The sequence below is a fragment of the Homo sapiens genome, chromosome 6, assembly GCF_000001405.40.
Source record: "Homo sapiens chromosome 6, GRCh38.p14 Primary Assembly".
In the NCBI taxonomy this organism is placed as follows: domain Eukaryota; kingdom Metazoa; phylum Chordata; class Mammalia; order Primates; family Hominidae; genus Homo; species Homo sapiens.
In genome coordinates, this window is record NC_000006.12 from 64,815,687 (window position 1) to 64,828,746 (window position 13,060).

The window sequence follows — 13,060 nt, forward strand, 5'->3', positions numbered from 1 at the left end:
TTCAGAAAATAAAAGATATAAAAGGTTGAGTATTTAGAGAAAGAGATGGAAGCTGGGAGGAATCCTGCAGACCAGGGCAATCTAGACAACAGAGCTTGACCCCAGTGATATATTCATTCAACGTGTACTGAAAATATTATGCCAGGAAATGTACAGGAGCATGAAAGGAACAGGGCAGTGATATATTCATTGTGAAATTCTTAGACAGGGCAAAGTACATACTGGGCTAGTAAATGTGACAGTTATCTCACTGACTCAGTTAGTTGTGTTCTCTCTGAGGGATGTGGTTTAGATCCACAGGGTTGTCCTGTGATCTCTTAACTGCCTAGAAAAGGAAATTACCCAATGTCATCTTTATCATAACATTTCTCTCATGGCATCACGTTTTATTTTTTAGCATTGGTGTTTTGGGTAGTGGAATACTTTCCTCAATTAAGATCTTGGAGAAAGGGAAACAGATACAGAGAGAACTACTATTTGAAGAGTGGGAACAGAACACGGTACCTACTAAGTCCCTACCATTCCCTCTGCAAAGGCCTATTAACCTTCACAGAATTCCGTGAACTTTGTCCAGTTCTGAATAAAAACTGCTAGTGTAGTCCAGTGTTTTTAAATGCGTATATTCAAAATCTCATTAATTATATGGGCTTTTACTTTGCAAGCTGCAGGATTGGGCAATCCAAAAGACTGAGAACTTTGATTAGACGTAACTACGGAATCTGTAGCATTGTAAGTGATGTGGTTGCTGTTGGTAGTAAAAAGAGTCTGGAAAAGGAAATGCAACTTCTCTTACCCCCACTTGTTTTGCTCTTCTGATCTAGGTTTGGGCTCACTTTTGCATGAGTCGTGATAGGCTTTCCCTAACTTAGGGATTCAAGATTTATGCAGGAGGGCAAATAATGGAATAGCTAGAGAACAAATACCTAGAGAACATAATGGCATTTATTTAAACAAAAGATACATATACCAATAAGTAATAATCACATTTTGTCAGAACAAATACGTAGGAAAATATTTCTAATAAACACACAAGTATGGTAGGGCACACACAAACAAATGAGCAAGAGGGGGTCTTAAAAGTAGTGCTAATTATTTTATGCTAGAAATAGCTAGAATGAACTCAAACTTCTGTACCTAAAACACAGAAAGAATTTTTAAGAGCAATAGACTTAAAATATCTTAAATATCCAAAAAAGGATACTAATTAAATAAATATGGTGTTTCCACACAATAGAATATTAATAAGAAGAAAGTAGAACAATATATGGTAGTATAGAATATATATATAATTATATATAAAGTAGAATAATTTTCTATGATTGATTAAGTGGAAAAGCAAGGTACTCTGTGTGTGTGTAATGAATGTTCCCATTTTGCAAGATCTTGTTTATTTTAAAGATTTGTTTCTAATTAAAGGATATCGATATTCTCTAAAATAATTTGTAGGAAAAAGCTGACCATTTGTTGAGGGAGATGGACTCCAACTCAAACCCTCTCCTGGAAAGCATTCTGATGGTTCAATCATTTAATTTCAAATAAAAAGAATGAGAAGAACTTGTTAAATAAGTCCCTTTTAAACCTGTCAAAAATCACAGAACCTTTAGAGTCTGTGTTCAAATAAATCTGGATACTTGAAAATAATTTTCTGAATGCCAGAATCCACTATGTACTAATGAAAGAATAACAAAAAATAGAAAAATATACATGATATACATGGCAGACAAAATGTAAATTATATTAAATAAAAAGCTCATAAATTACAGTCCACACTCAGAGAAACACAAATACATGCACTCATGTGTGCGTACTCAGTTTTTTACATGCAGGGGATACATGTGCAGCCTTGTTACACGGGTGTATTGCACTTGGGTAGTGAGCATAGCATAAAATAGGTCATTTTTTCGAACCATTCTCCTCTCCCTCCACCCTCTTCTAGTCCACAGTGCCTATTAGTCCCATGTTTATCTCCATAGGTGTTGAATGTTTAGCTGTCACTTATAAGTGAGAACATATGGTATTTGTTTTTCTGTTCCTGCATTAATTACCTTAGTTTTATGGCCTCCAGCTGCATCCATGTTGCTGTGAAGGACATGACTCATTTTTATCACTCTGTAGTTTTCCATGGTGTATATGTACCATATTTTCTTTATCCAATCCACCACTGATGGTCACCTGTGTTGATTCCATGTCTTTGCTATTTATACACAGTTTTTTAATTCTTTCCTTTTTATTTAGAGAACTTACATGAGTCCTTGCTTTATGTTAAGTCTGCTCATAGCAATATATTCACTACGAGTTAAAGCACGAATTCTCTTATTTCTACTTCATCTGAGAAAGTCACGATTTTTAAATTCTGTAATTAGTTTTTTCCATTTCAGTACATAACATATATTTATAATTTGATATCTTAAAAATAATACTGCTTCCATGTAAATATACATGGTGCATGAGAAAGATACATGCCATCCTCCTAAGTCTTATCAAACTTGAAAGAAAAATATCTGCTTTCTATGCTGCCCTACTCACTTTCCTTTTCTGTTTGTGTGTGCATATCCAGAACTTAAATTACATTTTTTTCACTAGTCATGGCATATGTTCTCTCCCCAGGCATGCATTTGCTCTTCTCCAGCATTAATTCTAATTTTTAAAGCTTCCTTCTAATTGTCACTTGGACAAAAAACAAAACAAAGTGTATTAGGTTTCTCTAGAGAAACAGGACGAATAGGATAGAAGTATATGTGAAAGGGAGTTTATTAAGGAGTACTGACTCACACTATCACAAGGTGAAGTCCTACAATAGGCCGTCTGCAAGGTGAGGAGCAAGGAAGCCAGTCCGAGTCCCAAAACCTCAAAAGTAGGGAAGCCGACAGTGCAGCCTTCCGTCTGTGGCTGAAGGCCCGAAAGCCCCTGACAAACCACTGGTGGAAGGTCCAAGAGTCCAAAAGCTGAAGAATTTGGAGTCAAATGTTTGAGGGCAGGAAGCACCCGGCATGGGAGAAAAATGGAGGCCGGAAGACTCAGCCAGTCTAGTTCTTCCACGTTCTTCTGGCTGCTTTATTCTAGCTGAGCTGGCAGCTGATTAGATTGTACCCACTCAAACCCACTCAAATTGAGAGTGGGTCTGTCTTTCCCAGTTCACTGACTCAAATATTAATCTCCTTTGGCAATACTCTCACAGACACACCCAGGAATAATATTTTGCATCCTTCAGTCCAATGAAGTTGACACTCAATATTAACCATCACAGCAATTTTGCTTGTCTTGCTGCCCATCCAGCCCTAACATAAACTATATTATTTCCACTCCTAAGGAGGTTCACATGTAACACCTTGCCCTATATTGACCCGAGTGCTCTTTTCAGTTAGTACTGCCTATCTTTCTCCATTTTTCTTGCCTCTTTAGCCTTGAAAAACAGTTCATGAATCTCCTGCAGAGTGTGTTATCTAAGCATTGCACCATAGAGAAAGCTAAAATAAATAGGGCAGCTAGTAAGTAAGATAGAGAGAGATGTAGATCACTTTCCATGTGGAGCTGGTCAGGTAGGAAATATATCTAATGATTATTATATCTCAATTTCTTATAGACATTCAATATCTAAGATTTACAGAATGAATGAGCAAAATTACATATAGAGTACACTTAATGTATTAGTGAAACATGACAAAATTTTAAAAAATGTATTAAACTATAACAATTATTCTAGATAGTACTGGTGCAAATGAAATAAAAAGTAAAGAAACAGAATCGTCCAAAAACTAACCCATATATAGAAATCTATTATATGAAAAGTGGAGCATTCCAAATCAAGAAAGAATTAACAGACCCTTTGATAAAATTTCTTGGAAAAAATGATTATACTTAAAAGAAACCATTAAGTTAGATTCCTAGCTTTTATCAATCATAATATATTCACTATGAGTTAAAGCACTAAAAGTATCACGAATTCTATAATTGTAGATGAGAATATAATAATATATTTAAAATATTACAGTGGGAAGGATTTCTTTGGAGAGCAGCAAAGCCCAGTTAGGAAGAAAAAGGTAAAGAAAAATATGAAAATCTCACAATTCATAAGCTGTATAAAGTAAGAGTGTCCAGACTTTATAAAAGATTTGCATTTTTTCAGAACCTAGTAGATTTTATCTATAATTTAAAATAAGACATACAAATCAAAAAGTAAAGGGCAAGTAATCAAAAAGTAAAAGAACTATAAGTAGGCAAGGCACAAAGAACTACAAATGGCAAATAATAGCATGGAAAGGTGTTCAATCTTGATAGTAACCTAGGAAAATATAAATTAAAATAATGACAAATTACATTCTCCTCATGAAATTAGTCAACACTTTGCAAAGAGTGATTTCATTTAATAGGATCTAGGTAAGCGGTGTGCTCATACTCTCATCAGGTAAGTGTGGTCTTCAGTGTTTATTTGGAATACTTTATAGCTATTAAAAAGAATGAATCAGGACTCTTTGCATTTTAATGGAATGATTCCTAAGATATACTTCTAAGACAAAAAAGTCACTGAGTATAATGAGTTTGCTCTTATGTTAAAATAAAAATATTAGGAAAAAATCTAGAATCACATAGGTAGAATTTTAAGAATTGCTCTCATAATATTGGCCATGTATGTATATATGTACGCATGCATATATACATACATATGTCAAAAATGTCTATTTACTGATATTTTAATACAAAACTAAGAATATGATATTTGTACTATTAAGAAATATGGTTTTAGACATTACTTCAGGCAATATTTGCAGTAATGCAAACAAGATGTATGGTTCATTCATTCTCTACTAGGGAATTTATTTATTACATTTCCCTTTCCACATCAAGAATAACTTTCACTATCCAGAACAAAATAAACACAATATCAACAGATAATTATGCTTTTTAAAACTGTGTGTCAGAAAATGTGCTAATTGTTTTACATGCATTATCTCATTTAATTCTTGCAATAACCTGAGGTAGTTACTGTGATTATTTTTATTGAATAGTCAAAACATAATTTCAAAATAAATGTAAATTGAGAACACACAGTAGGTAAGTAGCAATATAGAGTTTCCATCTTGGTTCTCCGTGAATGCATTTAACTACTCCATCACCCCTCTCTGGAAGGGCCACTTACTGAATAGTTACTGTGTTTCATGTACATTCTCACACATGACCCTGTGATGTCAGAACTAGTATAGCTATGTTTTACTGACGAGGGAGAGAGACACAAAGAATGTAATAAAATACCCATGGTTTCACAATGACAAAGGCTTTTAGTTTGTATGCTTCCTCCCTTTACCATGTTATTGTCAATCAAAAATGATTTGGAAGAACTCCCCAGTATTCCAAAAGGCTCACAAGATTCTCATCCACCAAGAACGGTCACAATTCTCAGTCGACCAACATTTTTCAACAAATGAGGCATCCTATATAAAATACCATATGTCAATCACACCACATGAGACTCCTGAAGATTGAAAGACATATCCTGAGAATATTAAAGGTGTTGCCCACGTCTTGATATATGCATCCAGTATTTATATTCTCCTTGTGATATCTGAATTAATTGAATCCTATGTCATCCCTACAGATCCACAGATACCTCTGTCTCCTAAGACCAGGGAGGACGAGGCAGATGGTAAAATTTAAGCCATCTGAGCAACTGTTGATAATGGATACTTCTAGGATTTAGTTTGGTGGGGCGGTCGGCGGGAGGGAGGAGAATCGTGGAATTTTCTAACAACAAGAGACAAAGAAAGAAAAGGTGGGGGAAAAAAAGCCATGATTTGTAGTTTTGTTTGGAGCAGCCAAAGAATTACACAGAGGAAAGATGAGAGAACAGTTAAATCATCAACAACTGTGGAAGAAATGACTCTGAAACCTACAGCAAGCAATTTGATTTTTCTTTTAAATTAAATTTTTGTCATATAACTTGAATAAAATTATAAGACTTACATTAATTTTGATCTTACATTGTGTGCTAGTCCCATCTGCATCACATGAACATGGATATTCATTAATAAGTTCTGTGCACCTGAAACACAGAATTAGAATTACATTTTCAAATAAGTAGATGTTAAAGCATAACTTCAAGGGAGTTTCACCATTTAAACTTTTCTTTCCTAGTTCAGGTGAAAAAAGCACTCCCATGAGCAATACAAAGCAGAGTTTATTCCTGGGTTTCTTATCCTTGAAGGTGACTGGACTGAAAAAACGGATCAATTTTCATTTTTGCCATTTTCCCCATGGCAATGAAAAGAATGAACAGTTTTAAAAGATAAAAAGTATGTCTAGGGCTTATGTGAGAAACTGAAGTTAGCTATGGCCAGCCTGCATTGCAATGAGCTGCCAACCTTCTTTCTCTCTTCCCTGCTTACAAAGTAGGTGGCAGGATTATAAAAGAAAACTAACGTGGAAGCAAGCAGCATGATGCATCTGTGATGCATTCTTCTTTGCCACCTGCATCTTCTAGAAATACCTTCACTCTAGATGTGTATTAACCAATATTTTATCCATGATCAGAGCAGTTATTATACAGATTCATAGAGTCATAAAATACTTTTCATACACATAGGGCTGAAAGAACCAGTTTACTTAGGAACATTTTAAATACTGTGTGGTATTATCTCTCCATAGAGCAAATAATAGAATGTCTCATCATCTTACCTGCTAGTTCTATTACCATGAGCAGTTACCTTTAAGTATATTAAAGTCTAATTAATCCACATTTATAGAAAATTACTTTATGCTAATGAACAGAAATAAAAGAAGGGCAGAGATAATGTATCAGTACATTGCATTAGCTAAAACTGGCAGCATCTGTCATCTTAAATGTACTTAGCTCTTGTTTTATGAAAGAGCATAATTAAAATTATCTTTATCAACTTTCCCTTGATGTTAAGTCTTAAATATTGTGAGTTAAATATACTTTCATAAAGCTAATAATAAAAAAAATAGCTACCTTCCATGTAGACAAGGATTTGAAAGGCAATCATTGGCGTTTGTTTCACAGTGTGTTCCAAAAAACCCACTCTTGCAGTCACAGGTATAATGATTGATGCCATCGATACAAACTCCATCATGGAGACAGGGCTCTGATAGGCATTCATCTAGATTTATTTCACAGTTGATGCCTGTGTTGGAACAGACAAGGCAAAACATGAAACCATTTAAATACAAAACTCTTAAAAGTTTGTTCATTATGGTAAACATCACCAAGAAATGAAGACCTCTCTCTATAATGATAACTTGGTATTTGGTAGCAAAAGAAAATATATTTCAAGGTTAAATATATTTAGGTCTATGAATGTTCAGATTACTAATTTAATGTGAATGACAAAAACAAAGCACAAGCTTAATCTACTGAGGAGATTGTTTTTAGTGTGATGTTTGTTGAGAATATTAGTGAAGTAATGAATTATATCAAGTTGTCACTGTGAATACTAATTCATAATTTTTTTTGTAATGGTCTTTGAGAGTCAAACGTTTATTACCTACAAGAATTAAGAATGAGTTTGAAGTTTTCTAAATTTGGCTTTAGTGAGTCTATTAATGGGCTCCCTGAGATTTCTAAATGAAATCTAACTTTGGCTAAATACCTGGGATTTTCAAAGGCCAAGTAGCGAATATTTTTTAAGCACCTACCAAGAACCACCTCTATGCTCAACTAGAGGTACCAAGCCAAAAAATAAACTTCCTGTTCACACAAAAACGTTTTTAGGGAGGTAATCATTTACAGATAGAAAACACCGAGATGATAACATAAGCAGAGCTTAATGGAAAGCAAGATTGTGTTTCGTATGTTTGAAATATCTGGAAAGAGCACAGAACCATTGTAGAATTGTTAGAATAATTTCTTTGCCCATTACATCCATTACTAGCAAGCATCTACTAATAAAAACTAGCATTGACTGAGCACTTATAGGTGTGCCCTGCCCTTAAGGCTTCCTGCACATTATCTTAGCTAATGCTCATCAAACCGATAGGCAGATCTCATTAACCTTAACTCACTGGTGAGTATTCAGAGTGTAAGTGAAACTTCCAGGTCACACAGGCCATAACAGCAAACAAGAATTTAAATCATGTTTCCTCTGACTTGTGCTTCTGATCATTACTTTAAATTACCTACCTTGCAGCTACTCTAATATGTGCATAAGTTGCTATGCTGAGTAATACCGTGGATACCAATTGGAAAACATGGTTCTTGTAGCCAATACATAATACCTAGTTGTGAATAAAGATAAGTAATAAGCTTATTACAGTGAAGAAGACAATAATGAAAATAGCTGACATGTGAGGCTCTTACTATGTGCCAGGTACACTCAATTTCAGAGGTTCATGACATAGTTTTATTTCCCACTCACTCTCCATGACTAGAGTGAGTTACAGATCCTCTTTACATTATCTTCACTCTGAGACCAATGTTAATGAAGCATACTCTACCTGGGATATTGACATCTGTGTTTAAGAGGAAAAAAGACACTTCCCTTTCATGCTGGGCTTGGTCATATGACATAAAATACAGGTGGCTCTTAAGTCTTTCACCTACAAATCAAGTTATACGACTAAGTCCAACAGAAATGGAATGGGAAAGAATGTTTCTCCCACAGGAAAGGGCACATATTTGTAACAATAAAATTGAGTACAAGCATAATCAATCAAGCTTCTCACTTGTAAATGAGTGTTACTTATTGGTACATCATACGTTTATTGGGATGATAGAGTATAGGCATGCATCAAAAACAACCTAGCCAAGGTCTGATACATGTTTAACATTTTATTACTTTCAGGTTCTTGATAAAAATATCACAAACACATTATATTTGATTAGTGATTTGGGTGGTTCCAAAGACACCACCATTCTAACTAGGAAGATAAGTGAAAAGTCTCCGTATCACTATGTAGAATGCTGGCAGAGTCAGTGCTGAAATTTTCAGTTAAAAAAAGATAGATGGTCAATTTATAACAAAAGTGTGGGGGCAGGGACAGAAAGTGTTAAAAGAGTTTGGGACAGGATGCATCCAGCAATGTTGGGAGATGAGGAGATTTGACAAAAGACACTTCACTCTGTTTTTGAAATGTTCTCTCCATAAAAGGCAAACATGTCTCAGTTTAGCTAGAGACAGCATCATCAAGATTATCTTAGGATCTTTTTTTCCTAATGTTTTATTCATTAATTAAAATTGTGGTTATAATTTGACTTTCTAAGTAGCCTCCAAAGAGGATAAGAATGGAATAACTAGCCAATGTGAGCATTTTGGTCTCTATAAACCATTCTCATTTTTAACATTATAGTCCTTCAGATTCACACATATCAAAGTCCCTTTTACCTTTCTAACTTCATCTTATTTTAATCTCACCCTTGACTAGTCTACTTTACTTACATTGACCTCCTTATATTTTCTCAAAAGTTTTAGGCATGCTGTTCCTAAAAGACCTTTGTACTTTTATTCCCTTTCTAAAAAATCTCTTCCAAATATTTCACAGTTTACATCTTCTTCAGGTTTTTACTCAAATGTCACTATCTCAATGAGGACTATTCAACCACACAATACAAAATTGCATTCTCGTCTTAATCCGCAATTGCCATTATCCTGTTTTATGTTTCCCTCCTGTAACAAGTAATCTCCTTGTAGCATTCCATAAGATGTATTCATCTTTTTTTTCTTTTTCTCTCTATTTCTCCATGACAAGCTTAGCTTCATAAAGGCATAGATTTTGTCTGTCTCATTCAAACTGCATACATTCAAATATTTGTTAAAAAATAAATCCTTGTCATATACGTGTGTGTGGGTTTATGTGTGCATGTTTTTGTATTTTGTTTTACAGATATCTGTTATTTTCTCAGAAATCCCAGCCTCTTCCCAACCACGAACAAAACAGTTCTTGAGAATCTGGGGAAACTGTTAGTCCTTGCGAAGGTGAGAGTCAGAATCCAATGAGGCGATGGTGATGCCTCTGAGGTGCATAACTAAAAGAGTTGTCTGTGCAGCCAAGGGGAAATATTTAATGGGACCTCTGCTTTTTCCCACCTTCAAACAAAGACATGTTCATGTGTGAAAAAAGACACACAGTTGTGGAGGGTCTTGGACTTTGGTTCACAATGATCTCCCACAAATAATTACCAACCTATTCAAACTCTAAGTTATTCATCTGTAAACTATGAATCAAAATTTCTCTACTGTAGCATAGTAGAGAGATATTCATAAAGTGCACATATATATATATATATATAAATACATATGCTCCCTGATTATTATAACAACAAGATTGTTTATCTTCATAGGATAACAATGCTTTGACATAGCACATCTAAAAGAAATAATAGTATTTATTAGACATGATCAAAGCCTTGGCTAAAGTCTCAGTCTCAGTTTTTTGCCTACATTGCCTTATATACCAGGTATTTCCTACTGGTCATTAATTTATCTAATGCATATTTATGTGTCAATCAGAGTTCTAGACTCCTTGCATAGTTCCCTTGACCTGGCATGCATCACTGCCACCTCAATCACAGCATAGCAGATGATTTTCACAAAATCTAATGATTTCATTATGGACTTCATTTGACAAAAGAAGAACCATGTTCTTTCTTTTTGTTATGTCTAACATATTGTTCTTTCCACCTACCCTCCTGCCTGCTTTGGAGCTACAGCAATAGTTTATGTTTGAAATAATTTTCAGCTTGTGGTTCTAAAGTTTTTTATTTCATTCATAATGCAGGCAATTCCTTTTTTAAGCAGATTGGAAGGTTACCTGTGATATTTGAGTTTTTTTCCTATGATCCCACTTATTTAAAAATCCTCTTTACTAGTCCGCCTCAACATCTGCCTCCAGATTGAATATTTTCACATAGGAAATTACACAATCCTTTTAGAATCAAGCCATTAAAGTTCATAAACTGATAGGTTTGATCAGCAAAACATTTTCGTGCATCAACAATATTATAATAGAAATTATATATATTCCTATTATATAAATACATGATTTTATGTATATATATATATATATATATCTGTCAATCAGCTGTCTTTTTTCAGACTGTGTTTTTTTTTCTTACTTTCTCTTCATTCCCTTTTTACCCAACTTCTTCCCATTTGTCAGCGTTACATGTTTTGACAAGTTTTTCAAAATCACTTTCCTGATTCTTAATTTTTTTCATTTCACATATGAGAACCTCAAAACATACTTTATGAACTCTCCATTGTCCCCAGAAATAAATGTAGTCTCCCTAGCCTAAAACCAAATTCTCTGTTCCAATCTTTCCTTTCTTGTCGCTGCTCTGATATTATCAAATACTCTCATCTCCTGGTTTATAAACCTGATTGAATAATACAATCAACCGTGGAGTTTTTAAAAATACAAAATCCCAAATCTGAATCTCTGAGAAATAGGACTGACAAGCTATATTTTTAAAAATCTCTCTAGATGATGGTAAATCATAGCTAAGGACCGCTGCTTTTTATCAAACTGGCTTAAAATTAAACATTCTCAATATTTTCTCATATCCATGTTAGCTCCTGATAGTTCTGCCTGAAATGTCATTTCCACATCTCTGTTTGCAGCCTGTTTTTTTATTTGAGGTCTTACAAAATTCTAGTTAATTTTAAATATTCCTTTTGATATCTCCCATTGCATATCAGCTAATATCATTTATCAGAGTCTCTTTAGGGTTTATTTATTTGAATTACTGTCTTATCTTCCAAACTTTATCACTACTTATTTGAGCTCAGGGATCATACCTATTTACTTTTACTTCATGAAAATGCCAAATACAAAATTTTCATGTAGTAAATGATCAAAATAGTCAGCTTAACTACTACTGAACACATCTAAATTGTGATAACATTTTGAAAATGACTAAAATTTACATAATAGCATGATATTTACAAAGGACATAATCAAGTTAATACAGGCATACAATAATTTATGGACTTAAGAATCAGTGATTTTAAAAATTCAAATTCATATTTCTAACCATTTTGAATTACAAAATTAAAAAAGTCATAAGAGCTCCAAAAGCAAAATGAGAGTTTTGTAAACGTTTCTTATTATGAACAATATTTAAATTAAAAACAATTTTAACTATCATGTAAAAGATTTCCAGATAGGCAGTCCAGCAAATGCTATTCTATGAGGAATAATCTAGGCAAACATGCAGCCATGGTGTTTAAAGGTGTGTCAATCAAAAATTATGAAATGTAAAAAAAATCCAGAAACAACAAAAAATGGATGGAATAAGAATAAAGTTGACAGAAAGGTTGAAATTATCAGAGAAGGAATTTAAAATAATGATTTAGAACATGACTGATATGTTAAAAAATATATCATAAAAGGTGGATAGATGACTGAATCTATGAGGAATATCAAAAGAGATGGAAACTATAAAAATATTCAAATTTCAATGCTAGGAAAATAATACAAGATGAAGAATTAATTTAATGAGCTTATCAGTGGACTGGACATAGGAAAGAACCAATGAACTTGAAGATAAGCAAGTATAAATTAATCAAAAGGAAACACCTGGAGGTAAAAAGAGTAAGAAAACAGAAAAGAGCTTCTAAGACATATAGAATAATATCAAAGTTTCTAACTGACTTGCAACTGGAATCCCTAAAGTAAAAGGGAGAGATAATATGATAGGAGAAATATGTAAAGAGATAACGGACATGGATTTGACTAAATTGATGGAACTCTGTAGCAGTTTCAGGCAGTATACAAGCTATTTTGCTGTTTGGAGCATATATCTTAGAAGACTCTATGGTATTAAAGATATATGTAGTGGAAAATATGATGCATAGATTTTATAGTAGTGCCAGAGGAAGAATCATAGACTGAGGCTCTGGACCAAAACTAAAATATATGTAGCAGAGAATTATCCTGAAATTGAGAAATGGCTTCTGGCATGTCTGGGTAGTTGTAGAGATGAAACACCTGACCATGGGACATCAAGTATCCATGTGGACAGAACTGCCAATGCATTTGGCAAGACCAGTGGCAATCTACAGTAGGTAGTATATTGGGAATTGTGTATGAGTATGCCAGAGATCACAGATAG

The 13,060-nt window shown here is 33.9% G+C and overlaps 1 protein-coding gene across 2 annotated transcripts in view; it reads right to left on the bottom strand.

Moving 5' to 3' along the window:
- EYS (eyes shut homolog) overlaps positions 1-13,060 on the bottom strand; it is a 1,987,247-nt gene that overhangs the window by 1,095,707 nt on the left and 878,480 nt on the right. For both annotated transcript variants that reach the window (NM_001142800.2, NM_001292009.2), the window contains exons 20-21: positions 6,965-7,136; positions 5,959-6,037 (exon numbers count right to left, since the gene is read on the bottom strand). In NM_001142800.2, the coding sequence (NP_001136272.1) occupies positions 5,959-6,037; positions 6,965-7,136 (251 nt within the window). The remainder of the gene's footprint in view (positions 1-5,958; positions 6,038-6,964; positions 7,137-13,060) is intronic.